We start from the raw sequence: 24,331 nt of genomic DNA on the forward strand, positions 1-24,331 counted from the left end.
CATCTGTAAAATGGAGGCAATGATAGTATTTACCCTGTAGGTCTGGAAATGACAAGAGATGGAATGGCTAAGTTAGGACGAATGTTCTTCAGGCCTGCTGCATTGTTTCTTGGAGACCTATCTTGATTTTAGGTAGGCTAGAGCTTCAGAATTTAGATGCAAGACCTGTGTTTGTGCCCATTCTTCTTCCTACCACCCTCACCACCACCCTCACTTCTGCCCTAACATTCAGTCTCAATGGTCCTGAACCTGTGAGGACTCAGCTTCTCTTAAAGCCGAGGCCTAGAGGCTCAAGATTAAATATATTAATAGATATAAAGAACAGTGCTGGGACATAGTACTAAAAAGTGTTTGCTATGAAAATTATTATTGAAGTACCTAATACAGAGCAAAATATCCTTAAAACTCTTGACACAACCAAGTCCCTAAAGTCCCACGTTGGGTGGCAGGTGCCCCAACCTCTCATCTCTTTCTCTCCCTAACACTCCTGACTCCTTTGCTGATACCCTCTACCTGCCCTTCAGGTATCTTCTTCACATTTCCCATCCCTGTAAGCTCAAGCTCTTTCATATATAATATAGTTTACCTGGTCTCTACTTCTCTTGTTTCTTTAGTAAGCAACCTTTTCTCCTATCAGCCTAACAGAAGTTATCAAGGGGTTGGGGAGGCAGAAGATTGTGGAATGTTTTTGTCTCAGACACATACATATATACATAATATAATTATGATGCTTTCACCTGGTGGGGACTCTGTAATATGAGTCTGCTTCTCACTTTAATGTCAATTACTGAACAAGGGCAAAGCGACCCATTTCAGATATTTATGGAAAGTCTGATACTACCAATTCCTCCTCATTAACAGTGTATTAATTCACCTGCCCAATGACTCTGGTCTGAAACCAGGAACATAAGTTGATCCACGGGAGTGGGGCACATGTCATCTGAGACCTAGAGTTATGCTGTCCAACATGATAGCCACCAGCCACATGAGCCTATTTAAATTTAAATTAATTAAAATCAAATAATATTAAAACTTCATGTTCTTAGCTACACATGTTAAGTGCTCAATAGCCACATGCGACTGATACACTCCAGTCCATTGTCACTCCATTGGATAGCACAGACATGGAATATTCCCGATACAGCAGGTTGTTGTATTGGGCAGTGCCAGTCTCCAGAGAGATCAACAGAGCTTGACTTGGGTATTCACAGAACCTCATTTCAGGCCTTCCTAGGCCTCTAGGCCATGCCTACAAAAAAGGCTGAGCCCCCAGAGGTTCAGGATCATTGGAACTGGAAGTTAGGGTGAAGGTGAGGATGGCAGTCAGGATGGTAGGAAGGAGTATGGGGACAAACACAGGCCCTGCATGTACATTCTGCAAGCTCTAGTCTACTTAAGATCAAAATGGGTCTCCCAAGAAACAAGGCAATAGGCCTCAAAAAGATTCATTCTGTCCTCAACCATTCCGCCTCTTCTAACTAAGCTGCTTGGGAAAGGAGCTCAGAGGTTATTTATTGCCTTTTAAATTGAAGTGGAAATTGGAAGTAATCATCCGGACATTTCAAAAAGAAAAATGCCTGAAATAAGTGAACAAGATTGATGCAAAAGAAAGTTTTCTGCCCTGAATTATCCGGACTGCTGCTTTGATTCCCATGTAGACACAGACTGAGAACTTGCTGCCCACCCTTGCTTGTGATTTCTTCACACTGTGAAGTGAGAACCATAAGCGGTGGGAGTGGCAAAGACAGCAGGGAAGATGGGCTAGCAGACATGGGCCAGGCGGGTGGCAGAATATGGTGGAAGATCTCAGTATCAGTTGGTTCTTGAGAGATTCCCAAGACTGCTGCAACACTGACTGTCAAAGGCATTCTTTCCTCCGCAGGGCGTCCTGCCTGGAGGCCTTTCTCTGCCACTGTCCCTCAGAAGTTTCCACACACAGAGCTGATGAGTGGGTACTTCTATCCTTTTCTTTGTATGGCATTTTTAAATTATTGTTTTAAAAAATGTTTAAATAAAACAAACTGAGGCAGAAGCTTCTGAACTCTCTTGCCTCACTTTCCCTCCTTTTTGTGCACCCTTTCCTACTGCTCCACAGAACCAAGACAGAAAGAGACAGACCCTGATGCTTATCCAATAAAAGCTTTTACTTGGGGAGGATCTGAGCTCATGCTTGATGGGCATGAGTGGCATCTCAGGGTGCTCACAAGTCAGGACAGCAGCTGTTCGAACTAGTCACGTGTCTGAGGAAGGGCCAGGAGGGTGCGTAGGCCCCAAAATCGCTGTGGAATGTGACTTTCCTCTCCAGGGAAGAACTATGGGGTACAAAGCAGGCCGGCAGCTTTGAGGGCACTTGGGCAGCTTAAGGAAGCTTCTGAAGTCTCCTGCCTCAGTTTCCCTTCTTTTTCTGCTCCCTTTTCCACCTGCTCCACAGAATCAAGACAGAAGGAGACAGACCTTGATGCTTATACAATTTGTAAGGCCTTCATTAGAAAAAAAGCATTAAAAAAATGTGAAAACAAATCAGGTACAAAAGTGAATATTTATTTAGACTTTCAAATTCCTGGAATCTTAGAAATTCAGAACCATTCCTCTGAGAATGGTTTTTAGGTGGTTTTCCAGAAATGAGTACATAGGAATGTTTCCTGATGGCGATGTAGCTTTTCTCTCCATCTAGAACATTCTACAGCTCCTTGCAGCAGCTATCATTCACAGAAGCTGTGCAAGTAAGGATTTCTGGAGGTGAAACTTTATTAGCTTCACAGTGAATCCACCTCTGACCACAGATTGTAGGCCTGTGGGATGGAGTTGGAGGTTGACCCCAGGTTTTGTAGCCCTCCGTTTCTTCCTTTACAAATAAGAAAATGACGCCAGAAGAGTAGTTTCTCCCACTATCCCACAGCTTTAACACTGGGAACGAGAACCCAGGTCTCCTCTTCCCAGCCTGTGTTCTGGCCTCTAAACCACCGAGTTTGATAGGAGGTAGTATCAGAAAGTGGTCAGAGCTCCAAGCTTAGAGTCAAAAATCCCTAACCTGCCTTGTTAGCAGTGAGATCTTGGGCAAGTCCCACAGGTCCTCTGAACCTTAGCTCCTTATTAAAAATAGAGTATCCTCGGCCCCTTGTTGTTGTGTACATTAAGTGAAATAATATATATGAAAATGTATACAGTGTAGTAGGTGTTTAATAAATATCAATTGCCTCATTGTCTCCAATGCCATCCCAAGAAGTATGCCTTTCTACCAGGAGAGTATGTGTTTAGGGAAAGAGAATGTGAAATTAAATGATAAAACTAAAATTTCTTAAATTTTTTTTGCAAGTCTAAATGAAAAGGAGCCACATATCCTTATATCATCTTTGCAATTCAAACAACCTAGGTGTCGGTTCCTCAGAGTAAAAAATCGCTATAAAATTAGCTCTAACCACAAAGAAAATAAAGTACGAAAATGATTTGCAATTAATATTTTCTGCATTCTTCTTATGATAGCTTCATGGCGACTTTCACATTTAAAAATATGAATTTAAACAAATATTTAAAACATAAGGTATTGGTTCTATTTCCTGTTTTCCCTCATGCCAGAACAGATTTCATGCTGTCATATACACATTCAAGCAGAAAGCCATTTCGCTTTTTCCATTTGTTTTCATTACTTTTTTTCTATATTTGTTCTTTGACACTGTTTGTATTGAAGCCAGGGTTTGCCTTCTTTTCACTTTATCTCTCCATGGCAACAGATAGATTGCAATGCCACACACAAAAATGCAGAATTACAACCTCCCTGACAGATCAGGCAGAAAGAACTGTGTACCGTATAACCAGTGATGGAAACAGGATAGTTAATGAAGAAGCCAAATCTTTCCTTTTCAGGAAGAAAATAAATCATAATTCCTTTTTGCATCTTTTCTTTTCTCCCTAGGAAAGACCCCTAGGAAAGACCCCTGGTAGGCACTCAAGAATTATTTGTAGAATGAAGGACTGATTGGCTATTACCGCTTCCTTTTCTAAGTGCTTGCCAGTCATGTGCTTAATAAGCAATTTGAGAAATTGTAACTATAATTGTTACTGTTTATTGAATGCTCTCCATCTACTGTGCACTGTACTAAGTGCTGTATATACATGAGTTCACTGCACCTTCACATCCCTATAAAATGGTCATTTTCATCTGTTTGCAGATGAAGAACCTGAGCCCAGAGAGGTTAAGTGATGTGCTCAGGGTCAGAGCTCACAGCTAGGAAGTGGAGGAACCCAATTTGCTCCTTTGCAGTATGTCTGGCACTAAGCTTGGGCTCCTAACCTGTCTGTTGGCACACTAGTCCAGAAATTGGCAGGGAGATCAATATCAGTTCTATTGACCTGTTCTTTTCATAAGCTACCACTCCCATCTCTATGTTAAAAGGGAGTACATTTGTTCATCACTAATGTTTTCCCCATGTTTTCAGAGAGTTCTGACAGTGGTTGTCTATTACAGTCCAAATCTCCTTCAGTGTCTAGGACTTGTCTCAAGCCAGAGAACTGAATTCATCTGAAGTAGCTACATGTCCTCTTTCTTTATAATGTCTGCTATAGTCCTTCCAGGATCAAGTCTAACTTCTTTGCTAAAGATTATTTTCTTTGACGATTAATTCTCCTTAGAGATTATTAATGATTATTAATCATCTCCTTAGAGATGATTAATACCTGTAAGTGATGTCAATCACTTACAGGTATTGACATTGTTTGGGCTCATGATGTTGAATTCTGTGTAACATTGATCAGGTTGTTACTGAGCTTCAGTTTTCCTCATCCGTAAAATAAGAACGTGGTCATATGGTATCAAACTCCTTGTAGTCTTCAGTGCTTAAGAAATGTTACTTCCCTATTTTATTCCTCTTTGGACAGCAAAAAAGAGATTAGGTTTATGCTTTAGATATGTCATCTTAAATATCACCTAAATAGGTTTTATCTGACCACTCGCTCTAAGTAGAAACCCCTCCCTTGTTATTCCCTATCATCCACACACAATTTGTTTCCTTGATAGCAATTACCTGGAATTTGGGTATTTGTCTTGCTTATCATCTTTCTTCCTTCCTGGACCAAGCTCCAAGAGGATAGTAACAACATATATTTTATTCCCCCGCTGTATATTCACCTCACCATCTAGTAGTGACTGGTGCATAGTATTTGCCCAATAAATACTTGTTGAATGGATTTTAAAAGTGAGTGAATGATTCTTCTTGCCTCCCCACTCATTCCTTATTAAAGTCAGTATAATGTGCCACCGTTATCTTCAGTCACCAGGCTCACAACTCAGGTGCCATCTTTGATTTTTCTACAGTACTTACTCCAAAGTCCTGTTGATTATTTTATCTGCAACGTATTTCAGACCAGCTCTTTCTTTTCCAGTTGTGTAGCCTCTATTGAGTCTAGACACTTTTATGTGACCCCTAAATTATTGCAAGAGCCTCTTGAATACATTCTCTGTAAGATCTCTATCCCACCCAGTTCTCCTACAAATGCATTCAGGATTCTTTTGTTTAGGAATTTACAGCAGCTTTATGTTTCTTTAAGGATAGTTTTGAAATCCCTTCACTGTCATTGAAATAGCCCATTTTCTCATTCTTTTCAAAACCAGACCTAAACTAGAAAAATCCATAGGTCCCTGATATAGGGCTTACTCATTTCTCTCCCAAACTTTCTTTTATACTACTGTCCTCCCAACTGAAATCCCTTCTCCAATTCTTTCCGTCCAAACTTATCCTTTCCCTATAAACCCCTACTTTGAAATTCATTTTTCATGATTTGAGATGTAGCTTTTCTCTCAGCTCTATCATTAGCTAGTTTGGAATCACAGATAAGCCCTCAATTTCCATCTGTTTAGGCAATTTACTGAAAATGCTTACATAGAAATGCTCCCCAAAGATCAAATGTCCTAGGATTCGTGGTGCTATTTTGTTAATTAAGGCCTTCCTTTTGCTTAGTGCCCAGAGAGCTTCACAACTTGTAATAAGGCACCAAAGTAAGATCTTAGGTGGGTGAGGAACATGTCTTTCTTTTGTAAAGTGGGAAAATGACTACTGTGAACAGGAACCACTTCTTACGCAGACCTAATTTAATAAAACATAAAGTTTAATAATAATAATATGGAAGTTCAGGATCTAGAAATGGATCCTCTTCAAATATCTGTGCTCAAGTACCCTTTGAAAAATACTTCTACTCCTCTAGAGATACAAATGCTCCAGTTTGAAGATCACTGGACTAGAAGATAATTGAAGTTCTTTTTAATATAAAATTCCATATAATTCATATTCCATATAATTCACATTTAAGGCGCTATCTGGGCACCCTGTAAAGTGCAAGTTCTGGAACCAATCTGCATGCAGATACCAGAGTATTCTACCAATTACCAGGGTGTGATCTTGGGTATGTTACTCATCCATTCCTTGGCTAAGTGGAAATAATAATAGTACCTGTCTTACAAGCATATTGTGAGGAATCAATGAGTTAATGCAGATAAAGCACTTAGAACAATGTCTGTCACATACGTTAAGTGTTTAGGAATTATTTGCTATGATTGATGCTGCTGCTGCTACTAATATGACTAACATAACTAGAGAGATGCCCTGGCAAGAGTCTGAGAAGTCAGTCATATCTGTATGGTTGAAAAGGTGTCTGCACACAGGTGGTAATGAGACTGTATGTAATGACGCTTCTATGGATATTCTTTCATTGAACAAATGCCTATAGATCAACCACTGGCTCTGTGCTAGCTGTTGAAAAACAAATAAGTCAAAGCTCTTACACTCCAGGAGCTACCGCCCTGAAAGGGAAAGTTAAGTCAGCGCACGCTATCATACAATTAAGGGACAAAATGATGGATTAGAAAGGAAGTTACAGGAAGTTAGAAAAGGGGAAAGCAGTAGGAACTGAGGCCTAGGAAACTGAGCTATGCTGTAAAGGAAAATTTGATTTGGATAAATGTGGGAGGAGCTAAACACAGGGAAGCTTTCATATTTCACCCACAGCCATAGCATCTGGGGAAGAAGAGCTAGTATAGAAAGCTAGGTTGATGAGAGAAACAAAACTAGTTCAGTCAGCCCGCATTTAATTTTAGCAAGAAAGGAATAATGGTCCCAAGCCAGCAAGATGACAATTGATAAGGATAAATGCAAAGTCCTGTTCTCATGTCCGAAATGTGAACTGCACAAGTTCAGAACTGGGTAACCCTAACATGACAGTAGTTCATATGACAAAAATTCAGGAAAGGGTAAGTTAGGGATCAATTGATTGCAAGCTCAGTATGAATAAGAATTTTTCAGCCTGGGCTGAAATTAGCAACCCAACCTAGGAGGCTGCTGACCATCAGGGAGATCATTGTTCACTGTGAGGTTTTTCAGTACCCTTGAAGTGACTTTTGAAAAGACTACTCGAGGGATTAATTTTGGTTCTAAATTTTAATATATGATACTTTAAGATATGTATTTTAAAAATCTATTTCTTAAGCTTTTAAGTTAAGGTGACAAAGTCTATCACTCAATTCTAGTAAATTTAAACAATCTTGTTTTAAACTTTTATTTTAGGTTCGGGGTACATGTGCAGGTTTGTTATACAGGTAAACTCGTGTAACAATCTTTTTTTTTTTTTTGTATTTTTAGTAGAGATGGGGTTTCACCATGCTGGCCAGACTGGTCTCAAACTCCTGACCTCGTGATCTGCCTGCCTCGCCCTCCCAAAGTGCTGGGATTACAGCTGTGAGCCACTGCGCCCGGCCTTAACAATCATTTTTAAAGGGACTTTGAAATAATACTTGGCCCTACTTATAAACTTAAAGGCCTTAAAACATTTGAACTGTATTTATAAATTTAATATAGCTCTTATTTTTTGGCAAATATCTTTATCCACTGATTTAGAAGACAAAACTTCCTAGGCAATTAATATTAAAATAATATATTTATAAATATGATGTCTCAAATTTTCTTAAATGTTCTAATACTGTATGTAAATTTAGTAAGATTTTCAGTTAAAATTGTAAGTCTAAGTCAAGTTCTCAATTACACATTTTAAATTGGGTTAACAAGAATGACCCTCAAAAATTTTTCTAATTATTTCAAATATGCAAATTGCTAACTATACACCAATTTCATGATATAAAAATATTAATATACTACATTTGATTCTTCTTAAAACATATCTACACACTTCTAAATCTTCCAAGATAGGAAAGTGTTTAGCCTTTAAGTTAATTATTTTATTATCCTGTACAAATTTTGGGATTACCCCCTCATATGTGTATAATGTGGAAAATTACCTTCTCAGAATGAAATTACAAAATGATCAGAGATTTTAGTGGGGAGCCATTTGTATTTTCTTTTTTGGAAAACTCGATGAAATGCTTTGTACCCAATTAGTTTTTATTGTAATACTACATAATGTGAGAGTGTTTATGGGATGAGAGAAGAGGGAGAAGGGAAGACAAGAAACCCGTTTCCCTGAATCCAAGTTCTATACTATCCCTAGTTTTTATTATCCGCCTAGATATCTGCAGTTCCTACCCAAACTGATCATTTGACTGGATTTTGCATTTCTTTGGTTCTTAAGATAATTAAGTGCTTTTTCATCTAACTCTAAAAGTCCTTGTACTTGGTGGAACATCCTAATTTTTTTCATATACTGGTGATTGCTTTAGGATCACACAACTTTTGCAATTTGTATTTACAACTAAATTCTCGGTATCTCTCCAGGTTTTGCCTTGCTTTTCATCCCAATCTGCAAGGTCACACTGCCGATAGTCCAAATCTATGTAATTTGGTGCTGGGCAGACCATGTAAAGTATTTTCTGTCCAGCACTGCTCCAGGTGCTTTAAAAGAGATCATGACAATGAACTGAACTCCTTCCAATGATAGCTATCAGAACTGTCATGAGGACTGGACACAAATGTCTATGTGGAAGGGCGGAAGGGAGAGTTTAGAAAGACATAGTGACAACCTGCAAATGTATGAATGACTATCCCGTGGAAGAAGGAGTAGGGTTTTTTATTTGACTCCTGAGACCGCTGGATAGATGTAACAGAGTGGCAAACTCTTAAGGAAGAGCTTTTTCTAATAGTTGGCTTTCTCACAAAGGAATAGATTACCTTGGGAGAAAAGTGAGCCCCTGGACACTGGAAGCATCCAAATGAACCTGGGTACCCATGGGTCAAGGAGGTGCTAGAAGAGTTTCTAATAATAGTCATGAGATTGACTTAAAGAATGTATAAAATCTCTTCCACCTTTGAAAACCTCTGATTTCAGAAAACAGAGTTCACAAAGCTAGATGGCTCATAAAAGGCATCTAAATGTCAAAAACGTAATTGTGTCGTTATATTGCCCCACTTACTGGAGCATGGGCATGGCAAACCTCCTATGCTGAAAGCCTTCTTTTTTCCCGGGACAGAAAGCCCTTTGAGTTTTACAGAGAGATCAGAAATGGAGATGGATTAGGGAAGTGAGGTGGAGGGAGAAGGAAGGGAAAGATTTGCAGCAACAGCTGGAAGAGATTAGAGCCACAATAGAAATCAAAAAGAATGGATATGCTGAGCAGAGAAAGAAAACAGTACTAAGCTGCACTTTAAGAAGGGGAAATGGTGAACAAAGTTTTATCTCAAGACTGTTGCCTTCGAAGACGTAGGCATGTGTATCTATGTGTGTGTGTGTGTGTGTGTGTGTGTGTGTGTGTGTGTGTGTGTAGAAAGAGAGAGAGAGAAACAAACAATGATAATTTGACCTAAGGATATCAAGGACAAAGTAAATTATTTGGACACTTCATTATTATAAATCATTATATTTTTATAATAATCTTAGCTAACATCTATTAATCCCTGCTTAGTGACAGGAGCCACACCAGGCATTTTCTGTGCTCTATCCTATTCTACACCAGCTACAGATTCACTACAGTTTAGGAATCTGAGAAGACGGGAAGGCCTAAAGAACATTGTAGAAAGATGTCTATTGACTATTCATCAGATCACGCAATTAAACCTTCAGGTTCTCTGGTCAGAAACCTGGCTTTGAAACTCAGCTTCACCATTTTACCAGGTATCAAAAATTTAACTTCTCAAACTTTTCATTTTCAAGATGTAAAACATAAATAAATTACATACCCACTATTTCATAGGAAAAGTTGGGAAAACTAAATGAGGAAATGCATGTAAAGTGATTACTACAATACCTGGCATGCAGTAAGTGCTCAAGGCGTGGGAGCTACTCGTCTATCACAGGGGTAGACAAATGTTTTCTTTGAAGTGCCAGATAGTAAATATTTGAGGCTTTGTGAGCCACACAGTCTCTGTCACAACTACTCAACTGCCCAAGTACTTCATTTATAGACAATGAAATATGAATGTAATAAAAGTTTCACATATCACAAAAGATTCTTCTTTTTTTTAACTATATAAAAATACAAAAAACATTCTTAGCTCACAGTCTGAGAGCCATAGTTTGCTGACCCCATGCCAGCATTCAGAAAACCTTTGCCTCCACTCCACAATAGCCACAAGGCAGGCTTCTCAGGCCATAGACCTTGTCCCCAGAAGAATACCCTTTCCCCTCTAATATCTCATTTTCTCTCTTCAGCTACAAAATGAAAAAAAAAAATCTTTGCTAAGTGTCCCTACTGTGCTGAATCTTGCAAGGAAAATAGACTACCCCTTTGGCATTTTCAACCCTGGTAAGGGGCAAAGAACAAACCGATGGAAAGTTGATGGCCAGAGCCTGCAGAATCACGCTGGCTCCCACCCTCCACACACATCCATCAGAACCTGGCTGCCTCCTCACTAGGGCATCTGCACACTCTGTTGTTTTCTTCCCAGTGCTGCAAGATTCTCTCCCCAATCTAGATCCCATGGCAACTGCTTGAAGCTAACCTTTCAAGCAACGGGCTCCATTAAAGTTAGAAAAGTATAAATTGATCAATAGAGGGAAACACAGCCTGATAAAGCCCCTTTTGTGAGATTTTTATTATGGCTTTTTTTATCAGAACCGTGTTAATGGATGAGTTCTGAAATAAATTAACATTCCTATCCTAATGCAAATTTAAAAAGGGATATCAGCAAGGCATTTTGTGACACATAAAGATATGCATTCTACATTTTTCCTGGACAGTTACTTGGCAATATATATCAAGATTTTTAACCTCACCCTTTTTTTTGACCAGGTAATTGACCTTCCAAGAATGTGCCCTAAGGAAATAATCATACATATAACACAAAAATTTATGAACAAGATGTTCACCACAGCCTGTGTGCCTCAGGCTAAAATCTTGAAACCAACTGATTGGCATAGTTGGGCCCATGTTTTTTCTCCCTTGGCCTATCTCTGGTCCAAACAGCTATGACTGAAAGGGTTAGGAGAGGAGAAGCGTCTTACGGTAATCAGGGTGGTCCCTTTCGGGGACTGTGAATAGAGTGATAACACTTTTCACACAATAATACTTAATGGCACAGGAAAACAGTCACAGTATAATGGCAGATGTGAAGAGCAAGCTATAAACTGTACATATGATAGATCTTAACTTTGAAAATACAGTTATTCATAAAGAAATGGATATTTACCAAAATGACTTATTCAGTAACTAAGTTGTATGTGAACATGTAATCAAAATCTATTTGTAAAGAAACTCTCAGAGTTATTTCTCTCCTCTTACAAATGTTTCATACGTGCCCCTTCTGCCACATGTCACTCATCAGCTCTGTGGTCTATTCATCCCAGCATATTGCCACCACCAGTGACAGCCAGGATTTGTTCTTTGTTTCCTTAAGTCTACAAAGAAAAGGCAGTACAAACATAAAGTTTTTGATGTATATCTACAAGTAGAAGTTGTACAGTACAATGAATTTTGTAATGTGTTCAATTATTTTTTAAGTAACCTGTAGATATATAACACAAAGTTACATATACACCTTTGCACACACACACATATACATACACACGGACAAAAACACTAGAAGGAGAAACACCAAAATGCAAATGGTTATTATCCCTGGGTGATGAGATTAAAGATTACCATTGTATTTTGTTTCCTTCTTCCGATTTTTCTGTATTTTGTTGATTGGTTGCATCTACAAATTAGTGTGCATTTATTATAATAATAAACAGTAAACTTTTAAAAAAGATACAAGTATTAGTATTTTTTTACAAAAAAATACGTAATAATCTTGACCATACCAGGCCCCAAGCCACCACCCATCCCCACATCTCCACCCTGCCTTTTCTCTGCTTTTATCTTTAGAAGGTAGAGCCTCATTGTTGGAGGAAGATGCAAAGCCATACTGTCTGGCCCTGCTACGTACTCTGTGCTGATATCTTCTACTTGATTCCCCAGTTCCACTCTCCCCTCCACTCCACTCTGTGGCCCTGTAGACTGATCTGTAGAGGTCTGCGTTAACCAGGCTCCTCAGCCCTCTGGCATCAGTTGGATTTGGCCAAGGTGTGGTGTGTATCAGCAGGGTCTCTGGAAAGCCATAGCTTCACAGCTCCTGTCAGGCAGCTTTCTCTGTACTTCTCATTCCTTAAGCCCTTGTAATTGGTTTTTCCCCTTTCCCCTTTAGGCTGGTAAAGGCTCCCTATTCTCTCATTGCTTCAGGATTCTGCACCATCCCTTGTCACATTCCCTAAGCCCTGTCCACACCACTGAAATCAACCTTTTATTAAACTCTCTTTAATTACCCAGCTTGAGTGGGCCATCTCTTTCCTGCTGAGTCACGGACAGATAGATACTCACATTGCTGTACACATCTTGGCCCTTAGTACTCACTACCTGCTTACATTAATCCTACTGACTCTCCAGGGCTCTCCCACAATAATGTCCTTACCACAAGCATAGCTGACTCCTGCGATTCCTCAGGCCTCATCAGACTTAATTTCCCCCTAGACATCTATCCTTGGGATCAGAATGAGAGCTCTCACAGGTTCCATATTGTCTCTTTCCGAGTGCTGTCCCAATATAGGCCCACTGACCAGACTGCAGTGATACCCCAGATATTCCACCACTGTTCCTTTTTCCTTTCCATTGTATAAGACATTGTTCACTTTTGTTCTTAATCCCCAAATCCAAGCTTTGGCAACAGTCAACTCCCGGATTGAAGAAAATTCCCTCAACCCCAACTAATGTGTCCAGCTCATAAGCAGTTTCATCTTGTGTTCCTAGTTTCTCCATTTAGTTCAGAGGTTGTGATACCTCTTCTTGTCATCGTCTCTATGAAGGTTCTGGCCTAAATCCTAAAGGGGTTGGGATGTGGCAGGAAGTAGGAGAGGAATCAGGGATAATCCCAGCCATGTATGCTGGTATATGACACGTGAATTGTTCATGACACTCACTGAAAGAAATAGCACTTTTGCTCACTTTTTCTAAATGAATGAAATCTGACTCTAAGTCTACATATCCTGAGGCTAGAGGTGTCTGTTATAAGTGAGTGGTGGTAGCTCCCATTTAGCAGGCTCATATAACAACCCTTAAGCTCATAAAGCACCTGGAAAACGGTGGCAGTACTTGGATCTAATTCCAGGTAGCTGCTATTATTATCATTGGTCTTTCTACAGTGTGATGCCTCTGTCCAGTGCTGATTCTCCAATGTCTGTCTGGCACAAGGCACTCCTCTGGGTGGGCTGGCTTCATGTTCTTTTATGGGGAACTTCACCAATCGCAGGTTCTACTATGGGGGACTGTACTCGTTATCTATTGTTGTTTAATAAACCTCCCCAAAACTTAATAGCTGAAAACAACAATGATTTTCTTATATCTCATGATTTTGGAGGTTGGCTGAATTATTCTTCTGCTGGTCTTGCCTGGGCTGACTCATGTGGCTATATTCAGCAGGTGCATTGGCTAGGGGCTGGCTCAGATGAGAGAGCTGGGATGACTGGGCCTCTTTTCCCACATGATCTTCCCTCTGGCTGTATTCATGGCATGGTGGGCTCAGGATTCTAAGAGGGTGAGAACAGAAGCTGTGTGTTCTCTTAAGGCTTAGCCTCAGAATTTGCACAATGTTATTTTCACCACATCCTGTTGAGAAAACCAAGTCACAGGGTCAACCCATATTCCAGGGGCAAGAAAATAGACTCCACTTTTTTTTTTTTTTTTTTGAGACAGAGTCTCACTCTGTTGCCCAGCTGGAGTGCAGTGGTGTGATCTCGGCTCACTGCAACCTCCGCCTCCCGGGTTCATGCCATTCTCCTGCCTCAGCCTCCCGAGTAGCTGGGACTACAGGCGCCCGCCACCATGCCTGGCTAATTTTTTGTATTTTTAGTAGAGACAGGGTTTCACCGTGTTAGCCAGGATGGTCTCGATCTCCTGACCTCATGATCCACCCGCCTCAGCCTCCCAAAGTGCTGGGATTACAGGCGTGAGCCACCACGCCTGGCCTAGACTCCACCTTTTGATGGGTGACATGGCAAAGTCATATTGCAAAATGACATGCAAAATAGAAAGCATTGTCCCATGTTTGGAAACAATCTACTAGAGAGGAGGGGGGATATAAAATATCTCTTAATTTTTCATGATAAACTTCTAGCCAACAAAGAAAGATGCTGTTAATTTCTTAATCAAATTATTTTCCAAGTTATAATTTTATCATAAGCTGTATTATGTAAGAGTATACATAATGTATAATTTAAAAAGAATAATAATTTTAAAATTAAACTAACCTACCTTAAGAAATATAACATTCCCAATACCTTGAAAGTTACCTAGATGCTTCACAATCAATGCCCCTCTCTCCAGTCCTCTCTAGTGGTAACCACGACCCTATATTTCATGCTTGTTATTCCCTTGTGTTCTTGTTTTTATGACCACAGCTCACTGCTGTGGTCATAAAACCTCAGTCTCCTGGCCTCAAGCAATCCTCCCACCTCAGCCTCCCAGGTAGGTGGGACTACAGGTATGCACCACCACACCTGGATAATTTTTGTATTTTTTGTAGAGACGGGGTTTCACCATGTTGCTCAGGCTGCTTCCAAACTCCTGAGCTCGAGGGATCCGCCCACCTTGGCCTTCCAAAGTGCTGGGACTACAGGAACGAGCCACCGTGCCCAGCGCTTGTGTTCTCCAGGGTTTTACCACAGGAGTTGGTATGCCTAACTATGTATTACTTAGTTTTGCCTGTTTGTTGAACTTCACATAAAATAAATCATTCAGTGGTTTGATTTCATCACTCAGTATTGCTTTTTAGTTTCATTCATATTAATGTGTATAGCTGTAGCTTTTTCATTTTTATGGAGTTTTCCATTGTGTGAATATACATTAATTTATACATTTTACGGCTATTGGATTTTAAGTTTTTCCAATTTATTAAAAAATATTATGAGCAATGCTGCCATGGACTATTTTTTAACATCTTCTCAGGTATGCATACACAAGAGTTCATCTAGGGTATATTCCTACTCCTAAAATAATTCCTGGGTCATAGTGTACACAATGTTCAGCTTTACTAGATAATACCAAACTATTTTCCAATTTACCCTCTTTCTAGTATTGTATGAAAAGTCTCATTGCTCCATATCTGGGCCAACATGTGACATCATTGAGCTAATTTTTTCCAATTTGGTGATCATTAATTATTATCTCATTATGGCTTTAATGGGCATTTTACTCATTAATGGAGTTGCTAATATTTTCTTAAGCTTATTAATCCTTTCTGTTTATTCTTATGTGAAATGTCTGTGCATATGTTTTGCTCAACTCTGCTGAGTTTTTATTTTTAACAATTCTTTACATAATCAGGAATCTGTCCTTTGTTAGTTATATGTATTGAAAATAGCTTCTCTCCCAGTTAATGGCTCATCTTTTTAGACTTGTTAAATTCTTTCCCTAAATCACCCTGCTATACCTCTAATTATATTGAGAATGACCCCACTTCTCCAAACCCAATCTCTTGTCTTGGAACCAAGTTTGTACACCTCAACTCCCTTTCTTGGGAAAAATTCCTCTCCATCAGGCTAGAGACACTTATTCAAATAGACTCCCAGTAAGTTCACTCATTCTGCAACATGCCCAGAAAGTTATGAATCCTTGTTTCTTGGAAAAGGCCCTTAGTTCTCCAAGTTGTGCCACCATGAATGGGCCAAACAAGCCACGAATGGAGTGAGTGAATGGAAAAGGCCTTCCAGTGCCACAATTGGAGTGATGAGGAGACCAACAACCTGCAGAGAGCTGGAAGGATGAAGTATGGGTTTGGTACATACACTGGAAAACCACCTCTCTCTCCCACTCTTCAGTCTCCATTGTTTTTGTTGTTTTTCTCTGTCTCTTTATTAGGGTAGTCCTGTTTCTTCTTCATGGCAAACCCCCAGCAGCCTGGCATAAGGCATTTTTCCATCACATTGACAAATAACCAAGTGTCCAACCAAAATCTTGGTGGGAACTATTGAGCAGGTTTTGACATGCCTGCTGTCACACAGCCTGAAGGTCTGCCTTCACTTAGACCTTTTCAAAGTATTGCTTTTAGGAAAGTACCTGTCTGTAATCTTGTTTTGTTTATTTTCTCCTTCATGTTCAACAGAAGGAACATTATACTCTATCTCCTTCTGAACCTTCCCAAGCAGACCTTCAGGGTCACCTTGGAGTATTCTTAGGTTTTTCTCCTCTACCTCTAAAAGCTCACCAACTCTCCATGAACCCACAATATTTTTTAGAAAACAATATGGGGAGTGCCATCTAGGTGGGAGAGGCAGTATAGCCACTGCAGAGTATGCAGAGGATTAAAAGAGCTTTCTAGCTTGTCAGTACATAAAGACATCTGGAGTGAGAAAGTTAAATAACCAAGTTTAGAAACAGTTTAAGCAGGTTCTCAGGGCAGCCACTAGACCCTCATCACCAGGGTTCTGTTCACACAGCGCCTGACTCATAGTGGTCGCTCCATGAATGTTGGTTCAGTAACAGACACAAGGCAGCCTCCCTCGGTGCCCCCACAGCCAGCCCCTCTGGGGTCCCACCCTCTGCCTGGAGCTCTGCCTCACCAACTAAAGCCCTGTTCCATATTCAGGAATTGCTTCCTCTCACCTGCTTTGGCTTCATGCTTCCCTATGTACGCCACTTGGCATCATCCTCTCAATTTAAACATTTAGGCTTTCACAAAAGTAAGGAAAAGTGTGTGACCTCAAGAAGCTTCTGAGGTGTAGCCCTGCAAACACACTAGAGGCTGGGACCATCAAGGAAGGCCTAGCAGGAACAAACACATGTTCAGAGCTCCCTAATTACCCTGCCACACCAGTCTGGAGAAAGCTTTTGCCTTGCTAGTCTGAAATCTCACTGGTGGCAGAATTGGGTGGAAGGGAGGTTGAAGGTAAGGGCAGGCTGTTGGCAGTAAGACAGCAGCTCTATCTTGAGACTAGGACTGGTGAGATTCACCTGGGACTGCAGAGCCCTGATCATCTGTACCATTCATTAAGCTTTGAATCACATGTTGGCTTGTGGCAAATTCTGATATTGTTGTCTTATGTCTCTATTTAGTTCTTGGATTCTCATTTCCCTTATTACAGTTACATATCCTGCCTTACCAACTACACTCAAGTTCTCTTATAAGAGCAGGGCCCTAGGGATATGCCTCTTTATATAATACATAGAACTCTACAAGTGCTTGAAAAATACCAAACAAATGAAATCATGACCTTTTAAACTATAGACAAACCCCCTCTCTTTCTGAAGTAACATTTTAATTATTTTAGTCTTTCTTCTCTTATAGGTGGTTCCTCCAACCCTGAATAATTATAGTTACTTTTCTCCAAATCATTGTCCTATGTGTAAAGACAGACATGTCAACTATAGAAGAGACGTTTTTAGAGGAGCAGATTTTTTTTCTTATGAAATTCCTTGTATTTAGTTTCTAATACTAGTCTGATGAGACTGAACATTTTCTTGGCTATCTTAAGTGAAGCAATGTACACAGTGTTTAAAGTGTGGTACACAACACTTCAGGTCCCTGAGACCCTCTCAGATGATCACTAAAGTACAAAGTATTTTCATAATGATACTAAGAAATCATTTGTATTTGTTGCTGTGCTGGATTAATACAGTTGGTGCAAAAGCAATGGTGGATAAAACTGCTGGTGCCTTAGCACTAGTCCTCATTGTATTTACCACCATACACTCAGAGTTTTTTCAAAAAAATCTAATTTCATTTAAGATGTCCTTGATTAAGCAGTACAAATAATTAATTTTATTAAGTTTTGACCTTGAGAACATGTCTTTTCAATATCCTGGGTGACAAAATGAGAACGACTCATAAATCACTTCTGCATCATTAGAAATATGAATGTTGTCTTGAGAAAACGCACTCGTGCAATTGAATTGTGAGCTACACTGGTTGTTTTTCTTTATGGAACACAAGTTTTACTTGAAAGAAAAACAAAATATGACTATAGGAGCTGGCACACATTTTTTCCAGAATGAAGGAAGTGAGCCTATCACTTCGAAAAAAATAAAACTGAAGGAATTTGTTGGCAATGACAAAATTCTAGTTTTCAAGCAAAAATTAGAGTTTTGGAAAACTTGTATTCTTCACTGACAACTGAACAGCTTCTGAATATCTAAAGACTTTCCTGATGAGATCCACGGTAGTAACAAATGCATTTTTTTGATATTTTAGAATGAAACATATTAACATTTGCAACACCTATAGAACTCAGTAATCAATAATTTCCAAATGAATAATTCACTATGTTACAAAAATTATGTACACATTTAAATATTTTTAAAAACATTCAAAATGAAAGATAAACCAATAAATTTTAGTATAACAGAACATGAAAAGTTAATTGATATGATTACAGATTCTACACTGCAACTAAAAAACTACCACTTGTTGAGTTTTGGTGTATATCAAAGAAGAATATCCACAATTATCTCAAAAGGCTATGAAAATAAACTCCTTTTCCAACTACACATTTCTATGAGGCCAGATTTTCTTCATATACTTCATTTAAAACAGCATCGCAACAGCTTGAATGTAGAAGCAAATGTATTCATCCAATTCTTACATACATTAAAGAAATCTACAAAAATACAACTCATGTCATACACTAAAGAGACTTTCAAAAATAAACAATACAGGGCCTGGCGCAGTGGCTCATGCCTGTAATCCCAGCACTTTGGGAGGCTGAGGTGGGCAGATCGCTTGAGCTCAGGCATTCAAGACCAGCCTGGGCAACATGGCAAGACTCTGTCTCCATAAAGAATAAAAAATTAGCAGGGAGTGGTGCACTCCTATAGTCCCAGCTATCCCAGCTACTTGGGAGGCTGAGCTGACAGGATTGCTTGAACCCAGGAGGTCGAGGCTGCAGTGAGGCAAAATTGCGTCACTAAATTCTAAGCTGGGTGACAGAGTGAAACCCTATCTCACAAGATAAAAACAAAAAACAATACCATTCTTCTCACTATTTTTTCATTTGAAAAATATAGTTAATTAAAATTGTTTTATTTACATTAACAGGTAATGGGTTTATTGTGATTCTTGAATAAACTAATAAATAACTCTTTGGAGTCCTCAATAAATGTTAATGTTTTGGTTCTGGGACCAAAAAGTTTGAGAACTACTTATCCAGGGGACTTTAATTTGTAGGTTTCCTTCTTTGATCAGACTAACAGGGAGGGAGTAACATCTTTAAAGCACAAGCCCAACATCCTTAAAGAATAAACCAGATTATTTGGCCCATGTGCATATCTAACCCTTGCTTACCCTGAGGCTCCTGTGGTGTGCTTACACCAGGTTACAAGGGCTCAACTGAAGAACATCCTAGGTTTCATTTTCACAGAGTAACTGTTATTTGAAAACTTGGAGGTTTTGCCTTTCCAGGTCATTCATAAAGAAATTGAGTAGGATTGCCATCTGTATTTATCACCCCTAAAAGGCATCCATTTATTTAGCTTTACATGTTTCCTGTCTCAAAGACAACTATCTGCCCTTGACTAAACATTGTCCTCAGTTTCACAAAATCTCAACATGTCTATAGTGTGTGAATCTAGACAAAGGCTGATAATAGACCAAATCTACCACATCCACAGTTTCCCTTCAATATAAGTAGATGTAACCCCTTGAGGATTCCTAAGGGATTTTTCAAACATGATTTCTCCTTACGGAAAAACTTCCCCCAAGTAGTTTATGCTTAATTTAGTAGTCCTTGATCTCACAGCTCAAGTGACTTATTCCATAGGGTCCTAGTCACTCACAGCTGGTTCATATTAAAAATGGTATTCTTTGTTCTATGTGATTCTTTAATTTCTGCCTAATTGCTAATATGAACTTGATCTGACGGAAGTTATATGCTTTTCTGTTCTTTCGTTTGTAGAATCTTCCCCTTCTCCCATGAAACCCTTTTATTTTACCTCCAGTGATTTCCTTTAGTGAACAAAATGTGATTTTTTTCCTCCAACATCTAATTTGTAAAATTGGTGACATTCATTTCTCACAAAAGTATTTTTAAAGTCTTCAGATTCTCTTTGTATTATTTTAAAAATGTAACTACAGGTATTTATTTCAATCTAGCACTTTAGCTTCATTTCCTTTTAAAACTTAAGCATCTTAATGGGATTTAAAAAAAAAACTCCCCCCTCCCTTGCCAGATTCTGAATTCAATCATTTTGTCATTGTTATGTAACAGTTCACCCACAGCCACTTTCTGTAGCTATTCCTGATCACCACTCAGGATAAAATGCAATATATTTCTTTCCTTGCGGATTTAAAGGCTAGCTTTTCTAAGAAAGAATTAGTATTATCCCAAACTTTTTATTTCTGTATGTGGTCCTGATTCAGGAATTGCTACAATTTGTTTAAATCCTTCTTTGGGGGTAAGTTCCTGGCTCTTATCACTTGGTCTAATTTTGTAGCTTCCCTCCTTATTGTAACATATCAGTGCAGGCTCATTGCTGAATTCAATAAACCTGTGTCAAGCACATACTGGAATAAATGCTATAGGAAACACAAATATAGAAGACAATATAAAAGACTGAACATGCCTCGGCCTTTAACCTTCAGGCATTCAGTCTAATGGGAGAAATAGAGGCGATACGAGCAACTCCAATTGGCACATACCCAGTGCTTTGGGGAGCACAGGGGAGGGTGCAGGAGCTCCTCTTACCGTGGCTGCATTACTGAAGGTGACTGCTTGTGCCTTGAGGTTCTCTATCACTCTCCGTCTAGTCCTTGTTTCCCTGAGCTACACCAGTCTTGGCATCCATGAGGCGTGGGTAAAAAGTGCAAAGACACTTGCATCTATCCATCTCAAAAGGTTATATTGGCGCCCTAAACTTCCCAGCGTATCCTCTTCCTGTGAGCACTTTGATTGTTGTTGTCTGCACTGCCTCCTCTACCCGTGGCTGGATCCCACTGCACACTCTCGCTGTGGCCATGCCTGCCAGAGCCTGTGGTGCTGGGCTCTGCTGCCCTTGCTGCCATCACTGAAGAAGTTCCAGAAGCTGGGACAATATTTTCATCCAGTTTTTGAGGTCTGGGACAGCCGTTGATTACAGTTATTTTTATGCTCTTAGGATGCCCTGCCTCTCTTGCTTAGCCTACTTTGTAGAAGAACTTGAAACGAGCTCTGGAGTGTGGGGATGGAGTGGGAGAGCCAGCTTAAGAGTCGCCAACCACATCCATGTGTTGAGCACTCAGAAATATATTTTTTCTCACGGTAAATTATCTGCCTTCCTGGAGCCATACTGATCCGAGGTTGTGAACCTTTTTATGTCCTCTCGGTTGAGCTGTGTGACGCAGGGGTCCCAGGATCTGATCATCAGCTTCAGAGGCCTTCACCATGTATCCCAGGTCCCCATGCTAATAGGTGTCTTGAGGGATGCCTGACTATCCCAGCGTTTCTGAGGCAGGCATTCCTATTAGGTCCGCACCCCATCCTCTCTGTACTTTTCTAGTAAGATTTTTCAATTATCAGGACTTTAGTTAGTAATAATGTGTCAATCCCGGTTCATCAATTGCGGCAAATTTGCCATATGGATGAAAGATGTTAATAGGGACTACTAGGTATGGGGTGTATGAGAATTCTGTGTACCAGCTTCTCAATATTTCTGTAAATCTAAAACAGAGTTTATTTTTAAAATTACCAAAAAAGTAATACATGTTATTTTTCAAAATTCAAATTGTACTCAAATTATATATAAAGTAAAAGCGAAAAAAAAGGTCCCATCACATCCTCCCACTAATCTTACTCCTCGGAGTTTTAGAGATAGCTACTATTTCAAATTTGGTGTCTTTTTTTTTTTTTCTATTTTCACACGCATGCACACACACATGCACATATATATTCACATATTTTTTTAACAAAATGATATATGCATATTGTTTTAAAACTTCTCTTTTTCCAATAACAATATGTTACTCTCTTACCATGTCAATTCATATCATTCTGCTTCTTGTTTTTTTGTTTTTTTTTTTTGAGACGAAGTCTGGCTCTGTCGCCCAGGCTGGAGTGCAGTGGCAGGATCTCGGCTCACTGCTACCTTGCCCGGCTAATTTTTCTAGTTTTAGTGAAGACAGGATTTCACCATGTTGGCCAGGCTGGTCTCAAAATCCTGACCTCAGGTGATCCACCCACCTCGGCCTCTCAAAGTGCTAGGAACACAGGTGTGAGCCACCAAGTCCGTGCCCGATTTATGGAATTTCATAGTATGGAAGTACCATAACTTATATAATCCTTCTTCCACTCAAATATATTTATATTGTTTCCATTTTTTTCAAACAATACTACAATGAATATCTTTTTTTTTTTTTTTTTGAGATGGAGTCTCGCTCTTTCACACAGGCCGGAGTGCAGTGGCGCTATCTCGGCTCACTGCAAGCTCCGCCTCCTGGGTTCACGCCATTCTCCTGCCTCAGCCTCCCAAGTAGCTGGGACTACAGGTGCCCGCCACGGCGCCCGGCTAATTTTTTGTATTTTTAGTAGAGACGGGGTTTCACCGTGTTAGCCAGGATGGTCTGGATCTCCTGACCTCGTCATCCGCCTGCCTCGGCTTCCCAAAGTGCTGGGATTACAGGCGTGAGCCACCGTGCCCGGCCTACAATGAATATCTTGTATGACCAATTATGTATATACATATGTTTATTTAAAATATCTATTTAAAATAGATAATTCCAAAATCACAAGATTTTAAGATTCTTACCAATCATGCTGCTCCTCACATACAATATGTCAACCCCTTCTATATGTCGGCTCCCATCCTTCATCAAGAGTTTTTCATAGCCTGGTAGTTCTCTGTTCCTTTGTTTGCCCAAAATCTGAACTACGCGTCATCATTTTATCCCTAATTCCTAGCACAATGCCTGGCACTTAATAGGAACCCAATAAGCATAAAGGAAGGGAAGAAGGAAGGAAGGAAGGAAGGAAGGAAGGAAGGAAGGAAGGAAGGAAGGAAGGAAGGAAGGGGAGGGGAGGGGAGGGGAGGGGAGGGGAGGGGAGGGGAGGGGAGGGGAGGAGAGGGAAGGGAAGGGAAGGGAAGGGAAGAGAATGGGAGAGGGAGGGAAGCAGTTTCTTCCACGCAGTCGTTGTTTTATTAACTGCGATTTGTATGTCTTTAATGTGACTTTTCTACCACTCTCCATGAATGTAGGCTGCTTAAAGGGATCTTAGTTTGGTCTAGGAGCCAGGCTATGAAGGGATGGAAAGTATTGTAAGAAATTTTTGTCCTTGTCCTTAGAAGGCCTAGAACTATCTCAGGATCAAGGAAGAGTCAAGATGTGGTAAGTTATTTGCAAAAAGGACCACCATAATTCCCATTCTTTGTGTTATCTTCTCAGGTGTCTTTGGGCTTGGACATGTAACTTGCTTCGGCCAATGGGACACTAGCAAATGTGACACAAGCAGAGTCTTGAGAAGTTTACATATTTTGGCTTGATTTTTCTAGCTGATCTTGGGAACCCTGGACCACCATGTGAAAAAGCTAAACTTTGGGCTAGCCTATTGGAGGGTTAGAGACCAAATGGAATAGAGATAAGCTTCTCAACCAAGGCCTCCTAAATCAATCATCCAGCCAAGCACCAGACATATTAGTGCCATTACGTGAGGTCATCTGGACCCCAGCCAAGCTGCCACTTGACTGAGCTCAGACCAGGTAAACCACCCACAGCTGGCAGAAAATTATATGAAATAATATATGTTTATGTTTCAAGCCACTAAGTTTTGAAGTGTTTTTTTATGCAGCAAAAGCTAACTGTACACAAGAATTTTCTGGAAAAAATGGCATGAGACACAATAATTTTAGATTAACTTTATATGTTGACAAAAATGCAAAAACACAAACATACATAAACATTAGCAAACTGAATCCAAAAATACACACACGCATACACACACACACACACACACGGCATCATGAACAACT

The 24,331-nt window shown here is 39.8% G+C and overlaps 1 long non-coding RNA gene across 1 annotated transcript in view; it reads left to right on the plus strand.

The window, feature by feature from the left end:
* The window catches only part of LOC105378429 (uncharacterized), a 35,018-nt gene extending 10,835 nt beyond the window's left edge, over positions 1–24,183 (plus strand). Inside the window, exon 3 of the long non-coding RNA XR_946203.3 lies at positions 23,855–24,183. This is a non-coding gene — a long non-coding RNA (uncharacterized LOC105378429). The remainder of the gene's footprint in view (positions 1–23,854) is intronic.
* Positions 24,184–24,331: the final 148 nt, after the last annotated feature.

The sequence above is a fragment of the Homo sapiens genome, chromosome 10 (assembly GCF_000001405.40).
Source record: "Homo sapiens chromosome 10, GRCh38.p14 Primary Assembly".
In the NCBI taxonomy this organism is placed as follows: domain Eukaryota; kingdom Metazoa; phylum Chordata; class Mammalia; order Primates; family Hominidae; genus Homo; species Homo sapiens.